Source organism: Homo sapiens, chromosome 21 (genome assembly GCF_000001405.40).
Source record: "Homo sapiens chromosome 21, GRCh38.p14 Primary Assembly".
Classification (NCBI taxonomy): Eukaryota; Metazoa; Chordata; class Mammalia; order Primates; family Hominidae; genus Homo; species Homo sapiens.
This window is the reverse complement of record NC_000021.9, coordinates 31,864,149-31,886,169: the sequence shown is the minus strand read 5'-3', so window position 1 is coordinate 31,886,169 and position 22,021 is coordinate 31,864,149. Positions and strand designations below refer to the sequence as shown.

At 49.3% G+C, this 22,021-nt stretch overlaps 1 protein-coding gene across 2 annotated transcripts in view, besides 4 other annotated features; it reads right to left on the bottom strand.

Moving 5' to 3' along the window:
* HUNK (hormonally up-regulated Neu-associated kinase) overlaps nucleotides 1–13,150 on the bottom strand; it is a 131,045-nt gene extending 117,895 nt beyond the window's left edge. For both annotated transcript variants that reach the window (NM_014586.2, XM_011529537.3), the window contains exon 1: nucleotides 12,235–13,150. In NM_014586.2, coding sequence (NP_055401.1) covers nucleotides 12,235–12,495 — 261 coding nt within the window. In that variant the 5' untranslated portion in view covers nucleotides 12,496–13,150. The remainder of the gene's footprint in view (nucleotides 1–12,234) is intronic.
* Nucleotides 4,662–5,162: an enhancer, noted in NCBI's record as "H3K4me1 hESC enhancer chr21:33253321-33253821 (GRCh37/hg19 assembly coordinates)". NCBI's record gives its function as "activates a minimal SCP1, AML or CMV promoter by ChIP-STARR-seq in primed H9 embryonic stem cells {active_cell/tissue: H9 hESC(primed)}" and the evidence as "EXISTENCE:reporter gene assay evidence [ECO:0000049][PMID:30033119]".
* Nucleotides 11,877–12,056: a silencer, noted in NCBI's record as "silent region_13247". NCBI's record gives its function as "represses an Ori minimal core promoter by ATAC-STARR-seq in GM12878 lymphoblastoid cells {active_cell/tissue: GM12878}" and the evidence as "EXISTENCE:reporter gene assay evidence [ECO:0000049][PMID:35858748]".
* Nucleotides 12,983–13,032: a silencer, noted in NCBI's record as "silent region_13246". NCBI's record gives its function as "represses an Ori minimal core promoter by ATAC-STARR-seq in GM12878 lymphoblastoid cells {active_cell/tissue: GM12878}" and the evidence as "EXISTENCE:reporter gene assay evidence [ECO:0000049][PMID:35858748]".
* Nucleotides 19,750–19,889: a silencer, noted in NCBI's record as "silent region_13245". NCBI's record gives its function as "represses an Ori minimal core promoter by ATAC-STARR-seq in GM12878 lymphoblastoid cells {active_cell/tissue: GM12878}" and the evidence as "EXISTENCE:reporter gene assay evidence [ECO:0000049][PMID:35858748]".

Sequence of the window (22,021 nt, the reverse complement as noted above, 5' to 3'; positions counted from 1 at the left end):
GATTATAGGCGTGAGCCACTGCGCCTAGCCCCCTGAATATGAGGTCTTTAGAGAAGTAATCAAGTTAAAGTGAGGTCATTAAGGTGGGCCCTGATCCAATTTGAACTGGTGTCCTTATCAAAAGGGAACATAGGCCAAGCGTGGTGGCTCACGTCTATAGTCTGTAATCCCAGCATTTTGGGAGGCTGAGACGGGTGGATCACGAGGTCAGGAGTTCAAGACCAGCTTGATCAACGTGGTGAAATGGTCTTTACTAAAAATACAAAAATTAGGTGGGTATGGTGGCGCGTGCCTGTCATCCCAGCTACTCAGGAGGCTGAGGCAGGAAAATCGCTTGAACCTGGGAGGCAGAGATTGCAGTGAGCCAAGATTGTGCCACTACACAACAGCCTGGGCAACAGAGCAAGTCTCTGTATCAAAAAAATAAAAAAATACAAAAGGGAACATTTGGACAGAGAGACAGACACACGTGGAGGGCAGACGATGTAAAGAGACACAGGAAGAAGACAGCCATGGATAAGCCGAGGACAGGGGCATGGAACAGATCCATCCTGCACAAGCCTCAGAAGGACCCACCCTGCCAACACCTTGATTTTGGACTTCCAGCCTCCAGAATGAGAGACAGTAAGGCCTTGCTATTCCAGCCCCCGGGTCTGTGGTGCTGTCTTATGGCAGCTCTAGCAAACCACTCCAGGTGGTGAGGAGGGACAAAGCAGAGTGAAGGGGCAGAGAGTGACAGGGGACAGGGCATTCAGAGACGGTCGTCAGGCCGAGGCCACAGGAATTCCAACAGCAGGGCCCGCCTGTCGGCCCCACCAAGGCTGCTCCTCAGAGGGCATCTCAAATAGACAGAGCCCCTCGAAGAGTGCCAAGGCGCATGCACTGTCACACACACGCATTAATGTACTAATACCTGTCTTAGTGCATTTTATGTCCAAGTTACGTAATGGCTCTTGCTCCTTGAAAGGTTTTCATTTCCCTCGATATTCCCCCTTTCTCTTTCTTCTCAACCACTGTCTTAGTCAGCTTGGGCTGGTGTAACATAGTACCATAATACCATAGACTGGATGCCTTATAAAGAACAGACAATTTGGCCAGGCGCGATGACTCGTGCCTGTAATCCCAGCACTTTGGGAGGCTGAGGCGGGTGGATCACCTCAGGTCAGGAGTTCGAGACCAGCCTGACCAACAAGGCAAAACCCCATTTCTACTAAAAATACAAAAATTAGCCGGGTGTGGTGGCACGCACCTGTAGTCCCAGCTACTCGGGAGGCTGAGACAGGAGAATCACTTGACCCAGAAGGCAGAGGTTGCAGTGAGCCAAGAGGGTGCCACTGCACCCCAGCCTGGCCGACAAAGAGTGACACTCCATCAAAAAAAAGAAAAAAAAAAGAAGAGACGTGTCTTTCTCACAGTTCTGGAGGCTGTGAAGTCTAAGCCTAACACACCTGCAGATCCAGTGTCTGATGAGGGCGTGTTTTCTGGCTCATAGAAATGGCACCTTTTCACTGAGTCCTCATATGGTGGAAGGACAAACAAGCTCCTTTAGGCACCCTTTATTTATTTATTTTTTTTTTGAGACAGAGTTTTGCTCTTGTCACCCAGGCTAGAGTGCAATGTCATGATCTTGGCTCACTGCAACCTCCACCTCCCAGGTTCAAGTGATTCTCCTGCCTCAGCCTCCCAAGTAGCTGGGATTACAGGTGCCCACCACCACGCCTGGCTAATTTTTGTATTTTCAGTAGAGATGGGGTTTCACCATGTTGGTCAGGCTGGTGTCAAGCTCCTGACCTCAAGTGATCCACCCACCTCGCCCTCCCAAAGTCTGGGATTACAGGTGTGAGCCACCATGCCTGGCCTTTTTTATTTTTTTATTTTTTCACTGCAACCTCAGTCAGGCACCTTTTATAAGGGCACTAATCCCATTCATGAGGGTAGATCTCATCACCTCCCAAAGGCCCCATCTCCAAATACCATCACACTGGAGGTTTGAATTTCAACAAAAGAATTTTGGGGGACACAAACATTCTGATCATAGCAACCATCCACCATAAATGGTACCACCTTTCCCATGAAGAGATGATGGGACATGGACTCACAGTTGTCTTACTTAAACCAGCAAGAGTCAAAGATTTCCAAAGACCATCCCACACAGTATCATGCCTCTCCCTTGCAATCCAGGCATGGTAAGGGTCGGGGCAGAATCAAGGGTGCTTACTCCAGGGTCATGGTTGCAGAACCAACCTGCCTAGCCTGAGTGTGTATAATCTACAACTGTAGCCCAACTGGCACCGGTGTTAACAAACCAAGGTGACCCAAACCCTCAGCCCAGTAATCTGCAGACTTCCATTTAGTCAGCAGAGCCAACAAGGGTGGGCAACAAAGCAGTGGCTCTTAATATTTTAGAGGTAAATAACTCCATTTAGAGTATGACGAAACCCATGGACCCTCTCCTCAGAAATATGTTTACATGCACACAATTGATAGGGCTCCATAGACCTCCAAAACTTATCAATTATCCTTCTCTAGTTCATGAACTCCCAAGAAATAACTTCTGCAAATGGCAAGAACCACAAAGAAAAAGAGAAAGAATAATGGGGAGCGAGGGAAGGTGGTAGACACTGCAAAATATATCACTCAAAGACGACTAATTTCCTTAATATATAAAGAGCTCCTATAAATCAATAAGAAAAAGGCCAAAACCCCAAAAGAAAATTGGCGAATGGACATGAACAATGAACAGAAATGAAGTACAAACAGTTGAGAAGGTATGAAAATATACTCAATTCCCATGTAAATAAGAGAAACAATAAATAAGACAAGATACCATGTTTAATACACTCGATTGGCAAAGATCAAAATGAGTACCCTGTTGGCTGACATGTGGAAAAGCAAACACTCCCATACCAGATGGGTGTGGTTATAAGTTGGGAACCCTTATAAATTATAAGGGTTATCAATGTGATTATAAATTGCCAACCTCTATGGCAGGCAATTTGGCAATACTTATCAACAGTTAAAATAGACATACCTTTTGGCCTAAGACTAGGAATTTACCCCTCAGATACACTGAGGGGTCACATTTACAAAGTGACAAATGGTCATGGATATTTACTGAAGTATGGTTTGAGAATAACAAAAAAAAAAAAATTATGTACTCCCTAAATGTCCATCAACAAGGGATGGTTAAGTCAACATGATACTTCCACACAATGACTACTATGCAATAACTAATTAACATAAAGAGTGAGGCAATTCTGTAGTAGTCATGGGGAAGAATGCTCAAGACATATTGCTAAGTGAAAAAGCAAGATAATGAACAGCATGTACAGTTTAAAAATACATCTGCCCTGGTGGGTGGGAGGGATGGATGAAGAGAAGCTGGTTCATGGGTACAAACATACATAGATAGAAGAACTAAATTCTAATGTCTGTTAGGGTGACTATACTTAGTAGCAATACTTTGTATATTTCAAGGTAACTAGAACAGAGGACTTGATATAATACCAACCCGTGGAAATGAATACTTAGGTGATGGACACGCCGATACTCTGGCTTGATCATTACACACTCCATGCATGGAACACTCACATGTACCCCATAAATATGTAAAATATTATGTATCAATAAAGAAGAAAAATCTGCCCCTAACTACGCATTTACAAATATGTATGTGGGTCTCTATGCATATAGGGTATCTCTGGAGGGATACACAAGGACTAGAAGGAGGAGTGACCTCTCACGAGAAGATCCAGGAACTGAAGAGCCCAGATAAGAAGCAGTTACCTCTCACTGCAAACCCTCTCAGAACCTTTGAATTTCAGACCATGTGTCTGTATTACCAATTCCAAAACTTAACCAAATGCATCTTGAAAACACAAAGATGATTAAAAACCAAAAAGAACCCAGTGATTAGAAGTTGCATAGCTAGGGCACAGTGGCCACCGTAAGAGTGCTAAGAGGATGTTAACAGATGGCTCTACCCTGAGTAGTTTTTTTTGTCCATGAGAATGTCCCAAACTGTTACTCTACTCATCAAAAATCCAAATTCCCACAACTCCTTCAACAACTTTTCCCACCACTCACGAGTGATGGGGGAGGGGGGGTCTCTTCCCAGGAAAGTGCCACCGTCTCTGAAGTAGGCATGCTGGCCCACAACTTGGCCCAACACTCAGTTGCCCCAGAGTTCTCAGGAAAAAACCCATAGAGCATACATATAAAGTGAGCTTTCAATCTTGTAAGTACTGAGAAACACAACAGAGCCCTGATGATTCTAACCTAAGAGAAATGTGAGGCCAGAAAATCCCCCAGCGTGTGGCACATAGAATCTGCTAATGAGATGCCACGCCGGCTGCTCCCTCATTGCAGGGAGAGAGACCACAGTCGAGCAGCAAGGTAGGGCAGGCTGAAGAGAAGCTGGTTCATGGGTACAAACATACATAGATAGAAGGACTAAATGCTAATGTTTGCTACGGGGACTATATTTAGCAGCAATAATTTGTATATTTCTTTGTTGTTGTTGTTGTTGTTGTTGCTGCTGCTGTTGTTATGGAGTTTTTGCTCTTGTTACCCAGGCTGGAGTGCAGTGGCACAATCTCGGCTCACTGCAACCTCCACCTCCTTGGTTCAAGCGACTCTCCTGCCTCAGCCTCCCGAGTAGCTGGGATTACAGGAACACACACTTGGCTAATTTTTTTGTATTTTTAGTAGAGACAGGGTTTCACCATGTTGGCCAGGCTGGTCTCAAACTCCTGACCTCAGGTGATCTGCCTCCCTCGGCCTCCCAAAGTGCTGGGATTACACGCGTGAGCCACCACGCCTGGCCATACTTTGTATATTTCAAGGTAACGAGATGAGAGGACTTGATACCAACACATGGAAATGATGACCACTCATATCCAAAATGCGCATGGAAAAGATGCCCACGTTGTCTACGGTCCATATGGTATGGACTCAGATGAAAAGCCCTGGACTCTGACCCTGTCTCTTTCAGTAAACAGCAAATGCTGGGCTGCACCCCCAGATTCCCCGTCAGTGCTGAAGAACTGACTGCCTCAGCTGCAGGCTATCAGCTGTGAGCTCTCCCCAGGAACCGCCCTCAGCAACTGTCCCGTACGAGGCCATGCCCCTTGCCTGGGCAGCCCCCATCAAGGACTGGCCGATGCGGAAATATAAATCCCAGTCCTCTCAACCCAAGTTGGTCAGCTCTGAAGGGCCAGCTCAGCTCCAGCACTCACCACGGCATGGGCAGGGGCTTTGGCTGAGAGCGGTATTGGAGCCCAGCTTCTCCCTCTGCCCAGTGCTGCTTTGCCCCTTCCCTTGCAGAGGTCAGTTCTGAGAGTAATCCCTAAAAGCACATTCATCTCCTTCCCAAGATCCGCTTGCCACAACCCAATACTGACAGTCTAAAAAGGTGCTGGAGCTTGAACTATGCTCCCCCAAAAGATACCTTCAAGTCCCGTTGGTACCTGTGGATATGATCTTCTTTGAAAATAGGGACTTTGTAGATGTCATCGAGTTAAAATGAGGCAACACTGGATTAGGGTAGACCTACATCCCATGACTGGTGTCCTTATAAAGAGACATAGGAAAAGATTAAGAGACAGAAGAGACACTCAGAGGGAGGAACACTGTGTGAAGACAGACGCAGAGACAGAGCGCTGCAGTCATAAGCCAGAAAATGCCAAAGAGTGCTGGCCACCACCGGAAGCTAGTAAGAGGCAAGGAAGGATTCTCCCTGTGGCTGCAGAGGGAGCATGGCCCTGCCAACACCTTGGTTTTGGATCCTAGCCTCCAGAACTGTGACAGAATAAATTTCTGTTGTTGAAGCCACACAGTGTGTGGTAATTTGTTAGAACCATCCTAGCAAACTCATAGAGAATGTCAGAGAGAAGATCTACTCAGGGCACCCTTCTACGTAATCAAGGCAGGCAAGAACACCAGCAAGCTGGCTGTTACCCCCTCCACCAGGGCTGCTGCAGGCATCTAACAAGAATGTGCACGGGAGGGGCACCCTGAAAAAAACCGTAAAACACTGTAGCACTGGGCTGGTGCTGGTGATGGAGGAGAGGGAACAGCTGTCTCGAATTCACAGAGGCATCCCCCTCCTCGGGGACTATTCAGTCCCTGTGTTTCTAGCTCTTTCCTGCTGGTCATCGTACCACCCAGTGGCACCTCCTATCAGAAAGCGTGAAATTCAATTCAGGTCAGTACTTAGACCAGGGCTGAGTAGAGAAAGAAGTTTCACCCATCAGCTAACATAAGGCCTGGGGATTATCTACGGGTTTCAATTAGCCAAGAGAGCAGGTCTCTCCGTTACCATAAATAATCGACAGAGGGAATATATGTCCCAAGGCAAATGATAACCCTGTGCCCAAGCCTCCTTCCCATGGAGAACACCCCAACCTGTCCCTCTCTTCGGGGGCACATGGCTGCCACTCCCCACCCCTTCTGGGCAGATAAACCCTGGGACAGATGATTGCCGCGCTGACCTCCAATAGCTGGCAGCATGCAGAATTCTATAGTCTCACAGACCTGAGTCGGATTGGTATGCACGGGTAGCTATAGCCGTGACTCAACACCTGCAGAGAAAATGTAGGGTTGTACTCCTCTCCGTGGGCACCGTTTCTGCACTGTTGCGCTGACTCAAAGCACCCTTTGAAGTCCGTGGGACCTGTATCAATGAACACTAGGAACCAGGCCCTACGTGCCAATTTCCATCATTCACAAGTACTTCAAAAAGATGAGGCAGGGCAGGAAGTTCAAAAGAATCCGCCTGCAACTGCAGAATGCAATCCTCGAAATTACAGGCACTGCCTTGTCACACAGGGCTCACCAAGCAGGTGCTTTGCAAATGCCTCCTTCTTGCCAAGAAGTCCCTGCCAAGGATTAATAGGAATTTCCAGTTCTCTAAGCATTTCTTGTTCCTCAGAGCGATTACCCCTAAACTTCTAGCACTTCAAAAATACAGGATTTAGCACCTGTTTGTTTCAGAAATACTTGCTAAAAACAGATCTGCCAAAAGGCCACCTCTAAAATTAGTCATATTTCTTGCTCTGCAAAACATAGTAAATCGTATTTTTAGTAACTCCTTCACTCCAGGTATCTGGCACTGTCATGCTCTAAGCATGATTACTGGCAACTTAGTAAGCAGGCAACCCTTACTCTTAGCCTAAAAATAGTTCTGATGGAAGTGACAAGCCGGCTTATTATTCTTTAACCAAGGGTTAGAACAAGATATTTCAACATCTTAACCAATCATTTTATGTACTCAACTTTGTATCTCAGTGAGACTCAATCACAAAAAAGGTAACAGTGGCATGGACTGTCTGTTCTTGTTCTGTAGTTTGCCTGCCTACAACACTGGCTCAATACCTGAGATACACCTACTCTTTTCTCGATTCAGCTTTTCCAACTATATTTTTTCAACTTTTATCAATTTTTTACAAAACACAATAACCTGTCATGTGCCAGAGACCATGCCTCTTGTAGGTATCACGAACCATCACCAGGGTTCAAGCAATTCTCATGTGTCAGCCACCCAAGTAGCTGGGACTACAGGTGTGCACCACCACACCCAGCTAATTTTTGTGTTTTTAGTAGAGATGGGGTTTCTCCATGTTGGCCAGGCTGGTCTCAAACTCCTGACCTCAAATGATCCACCCACTTCGGCCTCCCAAAGTGCTGGGATTACAGGCATGAGCCACCGCGTCCAGCCACTAAACCAAACTTCTAAGGAATTATCCAAATATATTGCTGATGATAAAGGACCATTGTTTTACTGATTCCTTACAAACATTATTTATAATGTCTGTATTAGAAACATTATACGTGGTTTCTAAGTTGCTTCATTTAAAGTTTAACGTTTATGGAAATTTAAAATCTTAAACTCTTTTTTTTTTTTTTTTTTTTGAGATGGAGTCTCATTCTGTCACCCAGGCTGGAGTGCAGTGGCACAATCTAGGCTCACTGCAACCTCCACCTCCCACATTCAAGCGATTCTCCTGCTGCAGCCTCCAAAGTAGCTGGGATTACAGGTATGCACCACCACACCTGGCTAATTTTTGCATTTTTATTAGAGACAGGGTTTCACCATGTTGGCCAGGCTGATCTAGAACTCCTGACCTCAAGTGATCCACCCACCTTGGCCTCCCAAAGTGCTGGGATTACAGGCATGAGCCACCACGTCTGTCCTGTTTCTGGACCTCACTTCAATTTTCTGTAAGTCACTTTCCTTATTCTGTCGACAGATGATATTATCTGATCATGCAGCAGCCCCCAAGTCACTCTGTCTGGTTGGGGGCCAGGGCGGGGGGCACTTGTTATGTGCCAGAGACCACGCCTCTCATAGGTATCACAAATCAATACCAGGCTCTGCAAGCACAACCACTCCAGGTGTTTCAAAGTCATTACCCCATACTGTTGCTCAACAGCTTTGCTCTTCGTCTCAAAGCCAGAGAGTGGTACTTTTCAGAATCTGGTTTTGTGATCATTTTCCCTGGTCTAATCATCAACTTTGGTCAAAGACACTCAGCCCTGACTGTGAAGGTACCTATTAAGAGTTTCACATGGCCAAGTGAACTATTTATTTTTAAAGCCAGATTAACAGAGATTGCATTAACTCAAAGGAGGACACAATTAGGTCTCAGCCGCAAGCCATCTTTCCTTTACAAGCAGTAAAAGAGCCATCTAGATTCAAATGGCTTCTAAACAAACAACTTCAGAGGAAAAGCAGGCAAAAGATTGTCCTACAGGCAGTGGTGGCAAAAGCAGCCTCTTGATGAGATCAAATTGAAACCTAAAAGGAAAGTTGGGAAAAACTGGCTCCCTTTGTCATCTGGACTCAGACAGTGATTCCCAGCAAACCATGAAGGATTTCACCCAAAGCTTTTTGGAAGTGTAACCAAGTCGAAACACAACACGCTACACACACACACACACCCCCATACCAAATGCCTTCAACTAGCAATGCCCTAGATTTTAGCACAAATCACCCAAAACTAATTCTCACAGTTTGAGAATGCAGCTATGAAGCAGGCCAAACTTGGGGTGCCCTCTCAACTTCTGTTTCCCTATGCCCTCTTTCAGCTTTTTCATGGACTGATTTCCCAAGACAAGCTGCCCTGAATCCTTTCGCTCCACGTGGGCTGGGAGTACTTCTCACTACAGTATTAATGACTTCATTCCCCTCCTAATGTGGAATGGATCCTTTATAAAAGGATGGGCCAGGTGCAGTGGCTCACATCTGTAATTGTAGCACTTTGGGAGGCCAAGGTGGGAGGATCACTTGAGGCCAGGAGTTGGAGACCAGCCTGAGCAACACAGTGAGACCCCTGTCTTTATAAAAAATTTAAAAAATAAATAGATAGGACAGGAGAAAAGTGAAATTCTAAATCCAAAATGTACACACCCCAAGAAAAGAGGAATTAATGAGGGAGAGAGGCCTCCCTGGGTCACCCACAGTGGGGGACACTGGAGGCTTAATGACCTCCTTTTCCTCAGCTCTGCTCACTGGAGGAAACTTTCCCCAGGCCAAAATCATCTTAGTAGCTCACCTTTTAAAAGAACTTCAGGTTGTAAATAGCCTGAGGCTGTGGTCATCTTTGTTTTGGCCTTAGTTAGGCAATACCCAAAACTAGAGTGGGAATGAGGACTCATTTTAATTTAGCAATCTTTCTCAGAGTCAAGCATACACACACAACCATTTTAATCCCCACAATCTGCTAAAACCCAAATCTATTAGTTAAGCATTAAAGGTGCTGGATTTGGGAGATAAATGTTATGAATGACACCATTGTTTCTTTAAAGCCAGCAATTGAGTGAACTAAAATCCAGATTTCTCCCAATGCCCGCAATCCCTGGAGCACTGATTCTCCCCGCTGGGGAGGAGCATCCCGGGAAAACCAAGTTTTTCAACACAGACATCTCTCCCCTGCCTCCTTCTCCACCCAAAGAACCACCATCCTTACCCGCAGTCCACCAATGGGTCCAGGGGAATAATTTTACATCCAATTAACATCTCCTGTCATTGCAACAATGAAGTGAGATTCATCATTTAAGAAACATAAGATGGGAGGGAAGGGGAGTGGGCACCTGGGGAAGCAGCGAGTCTCTTCATGTGAATCCTATTTGGGCAAGAATTCCCTGCATGTCGGGGTTCCCAGTGGGCCCAGCACAGAGCTCCAGAACCCAAGCGCTGGCTGAGCTCTGAATCCACCCCCAGGCAGTTCAGCCAAAGCCAAGAGTTTTATGGTGCAAAAATGCGCTGCTACAGAGCCAGAGGCACAGCACAACACAGCAAGGTGGAGGGAAGCCAGAAAAGAAGTCTGTGCACCAGGGCAGGCGAGAAGAATGTACTTGCAGTGTTTGCCATGACGTTGTGAGCATAAAGACTCGCTTCTTTCCGTTATGTTTAGAGAGGAAATATGCACAACCAGCCTGAATCCTATACGTTTCCAATGAAAATAAACTTCCATCGCCAGTGCCAACAGGAATTTACACAGGGCCAGGAGAAGAGAGCTCACTCTAATTAGCCGCATCCTCGCGCCCTGAACGGACCCGCAGTGTGGAAGTCAGACAGCTCACTACGAATCGAATCGAATCGAATCGAGGAGTGTAAGTGTGCCTCGCTCCTGCGGACTAGAACGAGGTTTGGAGGTTTTTCCTTTTTCTTTGAAGACTTACTCAAGTTCATACTGAACGCTCCTTTTTTGCATGGGAATTCAGGCAGGAGGCACTTCTAAAAACTACTCACTCTATCCCCACATACCCATAATAAAGCGGTGCCTCACTCAAAACGGCTGTAGGGAACACAGGGAAAATGACAAGGGTGACGGAGACCTGCATTCACAGGCAAAAGGCTCCAAGACAAAGAGGGGAAATGGGGTGGGGAGGGAACTACAGGTGGGGTGAGGCTAGAGACAGGCAGGAAGGGCAGGTTGGCCCTGTGACCAGGGGTTTCACAGGGCAGCCCCAGGCTGGGCAGAGGCCCCCAGGTCGGAAGGCAGAGGGCTCGGCTCCCAGGCCACCTGCTCGGTTGGGAAGTGAACTCCGCCTTCCCTCCTTGCGGCTGACGCCTCCCTGACCCACGGACCACACAAAGGAGCTGGTCCCCCTCCAGGTTTGAGCCACCCCCAGCCTGGGGGCAGTCTTGAGCCCGAGATGACAGGAGCTTGGGACAGCTCCAGCCTGGATTGGCTCTGAGCTCGGGCAGCTCCAGCCTGGGGTGACCCGGCCTCAAAAGCGAGTCACCAAGCTCTTGGGTTTCTTCTCACAGCTCTAAGTTACACCTTCCATCTTACCTGCCCCTCGCCTGGCAAGGGTTCACAACCATCTAACTTCCAACAAGGCTGGAGAGGTGCCCCTTTTGGTCTCGCGGAGGTCCCCTTTCCTTTCCCCTCTTCTAGAAAGATAAGAAGGCATCTCCCAGTCTCTGGGGGGAGGTATCTGTAGTTCTGTTCCTGCCAGTAGCAGGGTCTTCACTGCAGCTCCCACCCTGAGGCTGGAGGGCACAGAGGAGCTGGGGGAACGGAGAGAAGGGGATGAGAATGGCGGGGATGAGAATGGTGGGTGATGAGGGGGCAGGGGTGGGAGGGTTGAGTGGATAGAGAGGAGCACAGGTTGAGGGATGGACAAGTGGAGGGCGGAGGCAAAAACCCTCCTCTGAGCACGAAAAATTCCCTAGCTGCCAAAAAACATTCCCTAGCTGCCGGAGCCCACAGGTGGGAAGGAATGCAGGATCTCAGCCTTCTCCCACCTCCTCCGAGAGCCCAGGACGGGGATCAGACTCTAAGCTCCCCCCAGAGGCTGGCTGTTAGCTTTCCTGCCCCCCCCGCCCCCCGACATAAGAGCCCACCTCCTCTAGCCCTGGTTCCCGCCTCGCCACGGATCCGCCGCCCCTGCCGGCCTGAAGGGCAGAGGGGCCCCATCCCGCCCCCCGCGCTAGTGTCGCCAGGCGGCGCCCTTCCACGAGCAGAACGGCCGCGCGGGACGCTTCCCGGGGCAAGGCCGTCCCCTCCCAAGCCCCCAACCCCCGGGCAGCGGACCGCAGGCCGCCTTCGGGAAAGGCTGCGAGATGCTGAGCGCGCGTTTTAACCCAACAGGAAAGCCGGGCGGAGGGGGAAGGCGCTTGGCCCGGGACTGCACACTGGGACTCCCAGTGCAGTGCTCCCCGCGGGGTCCTGGCCGCCGACTCCCGCCCCTGTGCCCCAGCCCCACGGCGCCCGGGAGACTCACCTTCTCCCCGGTCAGCACGTGCAGCCCCTCGCGCACCTTGGCAAAGGAGCCCTCGCCCAGCTTCCTGCTGCCGATGAGGTAGTTGCCCACGCGCTTGTGGTGCTGGAAGTCGCGGAGCCGCTCGCGGGGCACGCCGCTCACCCAGGCAGGCAGGAAACTTCCCTCGCAGGCCGCCGCGGGCCTGGCCGCGTCCTCCGCGCCGCCGCCGCCCCCAGGCGCCGCCGGCTCCCCCAGGAGCCCGTCCCCCGCCGCCGCCGGCATCGCGCTCGCCGCGGCCCGCGCGGCTCCTGCTCGTCTCCCGCGCTCGCAGCTCCTCCTCCCCAGGCTCTTCGGCTTCCCCGGCTTCTCCCGCCGCCGCCCTGGGCCCAGCCCCGCCTGGGTCTCCGCACCCAGAGCCCGGGGCCGCCGCGATCACGCCCCCCGCGCCGCCCAGCGAGGCGCGTAGACAATAGCGGCTGCCCAGGGGACGCGGGACCGGGGACCCCGCCCCCAAAAGTTCTTCCTCTTAGGGTCGCCCGGGCCCCTTTCAGGACACCAGGATCCCGCCCCGGGTCCCGTCCAGGAAGCTAATGACAGTCGCCCTGCTCGGGCGCGCGGGGTGGGGCGCGGTCCGGCGGCGCCTGGGTCCCGGGGTCCGGGTGCCTGGGTCCGGGAGCCCGGGTGCCTCCGCAGCCTCCGCCTCGCCGCCGCCGTCTGGCCCGCACGGGCTTGGGTCGGGCTCCCGCGATCGCTCCTAGCCGTGCGCTGGGCGGCCGCTCCCGCCGGAGAGAAGCGCGCGGCGGGCTGCCGGCGCCCTCTGGAAGGCAGCAGAAGAAAGCCCCATTCAGTTTGAATTTGCAGAAATTTAATCCGCTCGCGGGCGGCGGGAACAGATGCGAGCTCCACTCCGCAGCCCGTGCACTTTCAAATCCCTAGTAGCCCCTCCTTCCCCGCGCGCCACAGTCAAACTCGACCCTCGCTGGAGAGGGGAGGGCCCGGGGAGGGGAGCGGCGGAGTGGACGGAGAAGCCACCTGAGCGCCAGACAGGGAGAACCTGCGCGGCCTCGGAGGCGCGCGCTCCCGGGCCGCCCAGGTCGGGCCGCCTCCGGCTGCGCCTCTTGCCCGGATTCTGGGCTTGGGTTTTCTGGACCTTTCGGCGGTGAAATCCCCCACTGGCCGCACCCACCCGGGGCGGGGGGAAGGGGGAAGGCTCTCGAACTCCGTGGACTGTGAGTCGGGTTGCGTGCCCGGCCCTGAGTCCGCCACACAGTAGGGCCCCCTGGACCGGGGGTGGAAGGATAGATGGATGGCTGGAAGAAAGGGTGGGGAGGCGGCCAGGCGTCTGCCCGGGCTCGCACGCAGCCTGGTTGGCTGTGTTGGAGGAGGCGCAGCCACAGCAGTAATAGTAGCAGCAGCAATGTAGGAACCAGGGCGTTTGCTGCCTCTGCTTGTAGCTTACACCTTCTTTGCCTTCCATTGAAATGATGCCTGTGATTGCAGGAGGTGGACCGGCGCTCGCCTCTCTTCGATGCTTTTGTTCTGCAAGCGCTGTGACTGTGCTCATCGCATAAACAATTGCAACTGCCCTGACGACACTGGACCCTCTCCCAGGATCCCCAACGTCTTCTCAAACCGAAAATGAAGAATCTTGTGAGGGAGAAGGAGGAGGGTAGGTAGGAGGAGGCATTTACAAAATGCTACCTGTTGAGGTGCCCGCATTTGATGGAAACTTCACCCCGATCATGCAACATCAGAGCTGAAAGGAAGGATTTGGTCCTAACAAAGTTCCTTTCATTGTTTATTCCTGAGTAAACAAGTATGACATCGACCCATAGCAATGCTTTGAGATTGGGAGTGGGGGGTGGGGGAACAACAGCTGTCATCAATCCAGTGTCTGGGGGTCTCGCTGACCCATCTGAAGAGGGACGCAGAGAAATGCCTGCTTTCAATACATCTAATTTTAAATACGCTACTATATTCATCCACCTACCTGTTACAAGTCACCAGCCTCAGTTATTATGACGGAACATACTGCGTTTTCTGTTGTTCTGTCTCATTGTTCCCGTTTACCAATATTAAAGATACAGCTTAAAATGTTTTTCTTGCTGTGCTGAAGGGACTTCTTTGCTCCCACCGGCCTTGACTATTTCAGTAACGTTCATTCAATCCTTTTAATGTCTCTAATTCAGTAATCAAATCTTAACAGGACAGTTGCATGGGAGGGGAATGGTAACTAGCGTGGTGCCAGCAGAATAGATGTCCAGCAACTGTCTAAAGAATGAGGAATATGGAGCTCACTTTGGGGTAAAAACCACTCTGAGGCCGGGCGCGGTGGCTCACGCCTGTAATCCTAGCACTTTGGGAGGCCGAGGCAGGTAGATCACGAGGTCAGGAGTTCAAGACCAGCCTGGTCAAGATGGTGAAACCCTGTCTCTACTAGAAATACAAAAATTAGCCGGGCGTGGTGGCGGGCGCCTGTAATCCCAGCTACTCGGGAGGCTGAGGCAGAGAATTGCTTGAATCCAGGAGGCGAAAGTTGCAGTGAGCTGAAATCTTGCCACTGCACTCCAGCCTGGGCGACAGAGCAAGACTCCTTCTCAAAAAAAAAAAAAAAAAAACCACTCTGAATCTTCCATCAGAAACAGTTTGGGAGTCCACCCAATGTTGTGTTAATAGAGTATGATTTTTTTTAATGTTAGGACATGCACTCTTTATGAAAATTTAGAGATTTATTTATTAAGGTTTAAGGGAAATTTCTGAGACTGTTCCCCAAAGTATTTTTATGGTCTAAAAAAAAAAAGTTTCATAAAAATGGTGGATGACATTTACAATGAAATAGAGATTTTCTTTCCTTTTAATTATCCTCTCAGGGTAGAGGTCAGGAAAGGGGTGAAGAAGAGAGAAAATCCAGGCCCATTAAATCTTTTTCAAGCCTGCTGCCTGGGTTTGATTCAAGTTCACTGCTAATTCCATAAGCTGGGATGGATGCCAAAGAGAAGTCCAAATCCTATCCGTGCGTCCCCTTTGTAACTGGTTTTGGAACTACAAGTCCTAGTCTCTGAAATGGCCTGTTTAACAAGAAATCACCCCAGAAATGTCTTTATGTAAAACAAATTAGTACACAATATATTGCCCTCATATTCAGTGTGCAGAAAGCATCTGATTATTCAATGCAACAGTAATGCAGCCTTGAAAATTCTCTGCTAATTAGCCCAAACTAATTTCTAGCCTTATCCTCCTGCGGAGTTCCCGGGTAGGGGGTGGTGCTGGCCGGGATCCGGCCTCCCTACTGCCACACCTTTGCCTGTGCCTTGCCCGCCCCCAGTCTGCTGTCTCCGACTCATTTCCACCTAGCACAGGTGTTCCCTTTCCCATGAAGACCTCCCCAACCAATAAGCTGCAAGAAGCCCATCTCCCTCTGTTGTCTCTTAGTTCATATAGTCATTTCACATTCCTCTTATGTCCTGTAGTACTTATTATCTATGACTTTCTTCTCTTTTAGACTTATTGAGGACAGGAGCTGTGTCTAATTTCATTATTTGCCCTACAGTACCTAGCACGGTGTCTGAGACATGATCATTGTTCAGTAAATATCTGTTGAATAAATGAATGAAAGTAATCATTCACTGATTCTCAAGTGGGGTTTTACTGCTCCTGAGAGCAAGACCCCATCAAGTCCTGGGGGAGACAAGTTACCAGTGACTTTCTAAAAGCATTTTTAGGTGCATTGTTGGTTGCCTTTGGGGATCAACAAATATAATTGTTTGTCTTGTCGAAGATGGATCATTCTCTAACTTGGATGAGTTAACCCTTTCAGAAACAGGAGCAATCCCAGTGGGCTGTGAAGCCTTGGGAAGCTTTCTCAGTTGACTCGTACCAGCTGCTTCCTTCCTTCCCTTTTCCTTCCCCATCTCCTCGCCCCATATGGCTGGGAGACTGCCTCTGTGCTCCCACAGAACGCCAGCTTCTAGACCCAGCTGGAAGCAGTCAAAGACAATTAGAAGTAATCAGGCTGGCACAGCCAGGAAATGAGAGTTGGCTAGAAGGGGTTAGGCTGGCAGAAGCCGTCTGGTAACTGGAGAAGGAACGGATGGCAAAGCAAAGACGGCAGACATGGATCAACTTTGCCTGGAAGACATCCTGTGAACTCTATATGTTCATGTTCCCAAAACAAAGTGTCCCATAAATAACAGACTGGACTTGAACCCGTGTCCCCAGAGTTCGTGTCCAGCATTATTCTTTCACAACACCCAGCTGTTGAACGTGCACAATGCAATGGCTGAGGAAGAAAGGGTTCCTCAGGCATAAAGACTCGTGTGCAAAGGCAGCCCAGTGTGCTATTGCAGAGTAGGCTACTGCCAGCATCCCCACAATGAAATGCTTCTCTAAAAATGAGTCGTGACACTTACCTTTTGATGCTTCAGTTTCCTTAAGCTGCAAAAATGGGATATTAAGGAATTGTGTGGAGTCAATCAGATTGTGCACACAAAGCACTCAGATCAGTGCCTGGCACATTATAAGTACAAGGTGAATTTTGGCTTTCACACCTTCCATCAATACGACTATCATCATCATAAACTAAGAGAAGTCACTCAAGAATGCCCCAGAGGTCCACCAGCACAATTGCCCTGGTAAATGATGAATCCAAAAGCATAATCTCCAGGTTGGATCTCTTCCCTGAAACCAGAGTCCTATGTCAACCCTCTTCAACTCTGCCGGGCTGTCTGATAGGATCTCACTCACATTTAACTTGGGATACACACACACACACACACACACACACACACACACACCCACACACACCCCTCTGTGCTTCTTTCCTAAGGCTTCACCCAAATTCACCCCAAAATTTAGCAGTCATCCTTTGCTTCCTCTGCTTCTCGATTCTCATATCCAACCCATCAGCAAATCCTATACCCGCCTGTGACCCTTTCTCTCACTTCCTAAGTGGCATCCTTTGCTTCCACGCCAAAGCCAAAACCAGTTCTTCAAAATGGGAATCAGTAATCCCAGCACTTAAGGAGGCCAAGGGGGAAGATCACCTGAGGTCAGGAGTTCAAGACCAGCCTGGCCAACATGGCGGAACCCCATCTCTACTAAAAATACAAAAATTAGCCGGGCGTGGTGGCAGGCACCTGTAATCCCAGCTACTCGGGAGGCTGAGGCAGGGAGAATCGCTTGAACCCTGGAGGCAGAGGTTGCAGTGAGCCAAGATCATGCCATTGCACTCTAGCCTGGGCGACAGAGCAAGACTCCATCTCAAAAAAAAAAAAAAATGGGAATCAGATCATATCACTTCCCTGCACTCGAAAGCTGTTCAACAGACCCCTGCAGAAAAGATTCCCCAAGCGCTTTGTCATGATATGGCCCTGCCCACCTCTTCACTGTCACCTCCTGGGAGCCAGACACCAAGCTCTTCCCTGCTTCAAAGGCTTTACCTCTGTGTCTTTGTCTGCTCAGACTGCCATAACAAAACACCTAGACTGGGCGGTTTAAACACCAGACATTTCTTTCTTATTGTTCTGAGGAATCCAAGATTTAGGTTCCAGCAGATATACATATATAGAGATTTACTCTAAGGAATTGACTCACATGATGATGGAGACTGAGAAATTGACTCACGTGATGATGGAGACTGAGAAGTCCAGAACGAAAGTGCTAGCAGATTCAGTTCCTGATGAAGGCTGTCCTCCCGGCTGACAGACGAGTGCTCTCGCCACGTGCTCTCATGGCAGAAAGACACACAGCCCTGGTCTCTTCTTTTTCTTATAAGGACACCAATCGGATCATGAGGGTCCCACTTTCATGCTCTCTATTAAGCCTAAATGCCTTCCGAAGGTCTCACCTGCAAATACCATCACATCAGAGGTCACAGCTGCAATGTATGAACTTGGGCCAGGGGGATGCAAACATTCAGTTCATGACACACTTCTTCAACATTGCTGAAGTTTCTTGCTTCATTCAGGGCTCTGCTCTCTCAATCAGAAAATCAGAAATCAGGCAGACTGTCCCAGGGTCGCTAACTACCACACTCAACTTTTCATGTCATTCATCATTAGCTAACAGAAGAATGTGCATTCACTTGTTTATGTGTTTATTCTCTCTCTCTCTCTCTCTCTCTCTCTCTCTCTCTCATTTAATGTCCATGAAGCGAGGGACTTTGTATCCCAACACCTATGCATGCCTGGTACACTGTACATGTGCAGCAATGGCAATGCGGAGCTTCATCTCAACTCTTGATCTGTCCATGTGGGAGAGGAAGGAGTTGCTGAGCTTTGTGTGGTTGTGGCACTGCAGCATGATGGTGTACGGATGGTGACACCAGGCCAACCTCCGGCAGCTGCTTCCCAGCAGCCACTGAGCTGATATTCAAGAAGAAAAAGGTGCATTCTTCAAACAAGATGCTGATGGCTTCTCACAGGACTCATCACAGTTGTACCTCCATCGGTCTCCAAAAGATGAATGTAATGGCTATTTCAGTAAGAAAAATGTACCTGCCACCTCCCAACTACAGATGGGCCCAGGGCTTTAGGACGTCTTGATGTGTGGTCTCTTCCTGTAAATCCCTGATAGAGGCTATTGAGAAGGAATGGAACTTTAAATATTCTATAGGAAGAGGCCATCACACATACTGATCTGGACCATTCCCCCTTGTATGCATGTCTCATTTGAAAGTGGCTTCCCATCGTACACTGACACCAACATCATCCCTATGGCCCTGCCAGGCCCAGCACAATCTGCATCCCACCCTGCAGGGCTCATCTCTCTTCCCTCATCCCATCATGTCTCTGATCTCACTTCCTCCTATTCACTGCCCTCCAGCCACACTGACCTGTGTGTGGGACCCACTCCCCCAGTGGGCTCTTTTTACTTTTTTGGAATATTATTCCAAGAAATATCTGTAGAGCTGGCTTCCTCATCATCTTCCGGTCTTTGCTCAAATGTCACCTTCTCTGTGGGCCTTTTCTCTGACCTTTTCTCTCTGATGCAAATTTCCCCTGGGCTACGCCCCACTCCCCTGCACCCCACCTCCTTATCCCCTTCCCTGCTTTATTTTCCTTCACAGCACTTATTGCCATCTGACAAATTACATCATTTCCCTCTTTGTTTTGCTTTTTGTCTGGCTCCTTCCCTAGAATGTCTGCTCCATGAGGGCTGGGACTTTGGTTAAGTCCACTATGCATGGTGCCTGGCTCCTGGGGAGTGCTCAACACAAATTCATTGTGGTTGACTAAATTTGTAATTCACAGGGAGTCTCGTTGCAGAAGCAGACGACCATAATAAATGAGAAGGCAGAAAGGAGAAACGCAACAAAACCGGGTCCTGCTGGAGAAAGCACACATCATAAAGACATATGGCAAAAGATCAATATTCATGCCTCAAAGAGGAGCCTCGATGACAAGCTCCACATTTGTATTATGGCAGGGAGGGAAAGGTTATTGTTAGCGCTGAGGCTTATTTACAGCCTTTCGCTGGGTGCTGACTCCTGTCCATTTCTTAGTAGGGATTGAGTAGAGCCTGCAGCAGCGAGGGGTCTGGGGATACTTAGAAGTGAGCACATACAACAGAGCATGGTCTACGGTGTGGCCAGCAGGTGGAGATGCAGTGAGGCGGAGGGCACCCTGGAACTGAGCCCACTCACCAGTCACAGAACTGGGCACGCGTGCTGATTGCAGAAGCCTGCCTGGCACAGCCAGGTGGACAGATGTAGACAAAAAGAGGCCGGCGCCCCCTGCTGGTCAACTCGGCTCTGCTTTCCCTCCGCAGCCCAGAGGGGCCCAAGAAACCGGGAAGAGAATGCAGGACCGGAGGCCAGAGCTGCCTCCGTGGCCCTGGGCAGGGCTCTTACTGTCTCTAAGCATCCGCTTTCTCCATCTGGAAAGGAAGAACTTCTCCCTGTCATTCCTAAGTCCCAGGACTGCTGCCAGGGTAAAATGAGGCAAATTATGGGCATATGCTACGAAAATAGAAGCTATTTTGGTTATTGTTCTTAGCACGGCATTCTTACATCAGAGCGAAAAGTGTCTGGGACATAAATCTGAAAACGATACATTTAAAATAAAGCAAAGAGTGAATGGGTCAAAAGACCAGTTTGTCCGGGGCTTTTTCATTCCGTGGCGGAGGCTTTCTGCTGAGCATTAGCATGTGATACACACATCTGCAGGCTTTGGGCCCACTGCCATGCAGAGCGTGCCACTATTCTAGGCCTGCTCCTCAACCCTCACCTTCCAGTTTCCCTCCTTCCAGGCCCCTGATCAACTGCCCAAGCCATTTGCTACTGCCAATGAGTCCATGTGTGTAGAAAGATAGTGATGATAGATAGATAGATGATAGATAGATAGATAGATAGATAGATAGATAGATAGATAGATAATAGATTTTTTAGCTAGGGTCTCGCTCTGTTGCCCAGGCTAGAGTGCAGTGGTGCCATCACGGCTCACTGTAGCAGCCTCTATCTCCTGGGCTCAAGTGATCCTCCCATCTCAGCCTCCCAAACAGCTGGGACTATCGGCATGCACCACGACACCCGGCTAATTTTTTGTGTGTTTTTTTTTTGCAGAGGCGGGGTTTCGCCATGTTGCTCAGGCTGGTCTCAAACTGCTGAGTTCAAGCCATCCTCCCTCCTCAGCCTCCCAAAGTGCTGGGATTACAGGCATGAGTCACTGTGCCCAACAAATAATAGATAATTAGTAAAGAGACAGACCAATAAATAGATGATAGATAAATAGATGATTGATAGAAACAGATGATAGATTCAATAGATAGAAGGATGATACATGACAGATACATAATGAATGACCAATGGATGATAGATAATTAGTAGATACGGATAAAGAGATAGAGAGATAGATGACACCTAGATAGGTGATTAATAGAAAATAGATCAATAGACACATTGATCAGTAGATGATGAACAAGAAGAAGGAGGAGGAGAAGGGAAGGAAGGAAGAAAGGAAGGGGAAACAAGGCAGGGAGGGAGGGAGGGAAGGAGGGAGGGAAGGGGGAAGATACGTATTCTTTATCTAAACCAAGTAGATGACCTGGTGCACCAATGAAGCTCCACCCATCAGGGTTTCCCCTTGATGTTGCCTTTCTGGCCCATCCTGAGTACAGCTGTAGGGCAGTCACTGTCCATTTTTGTCCACATTTGCCATCCAAGATCCAAGCTCACTTTTTCTTCCTCCATCTGTGGATCATAAGGATTTCCCCTTCCAAATGTGGCCATAGGTGTGAGTTGAGGGAGTACCCTTGGTGCAACAGTGGTGGGGGCTCTGGAATTCTGAGCTAGCTGCCAGTGTAGCTGGCTTGGGCCTTCAGGCCCTGCTGATATATTTGATCATGGATGCAGAACTTCTGTCTTGCCTTGGATACTGCAGGGCCCACCTAGCCTTAGAACCTGATGAGCCTGTGCGGGGCACCTCTGGAGGTGCATATGGTCACTTGGTGTCCCATGTCCAGCTGCTTCATCTCTACCGTGGTCCAGCAGCAGCACACCAGGAGCTCTTTAATGAAGAGTGTAAAATTTTCTACTGTAGATGGCATGGCGTTGCTCCGGAGCCCTAGGAGTCCTTCATGATTCCCCAGTGGAACTTTCTGTAAACTGAACATGGTGGCCTTTCCCTACCTCTGAGATCACTAGTAACCTAAGGCATGCTGGATTGTTCAGCCCAAGCAGAAGGGCTGTTTGCACTGCAGCCTGGATCTACTCCAGAGCCCTCCTCTGGGCCTTACTTACAGGAGGCAGCCTTCCATGTAATCCAGTCTATGGGTAGGAAGAGTATTCCCAGATATGGAATATGCCGCCTCC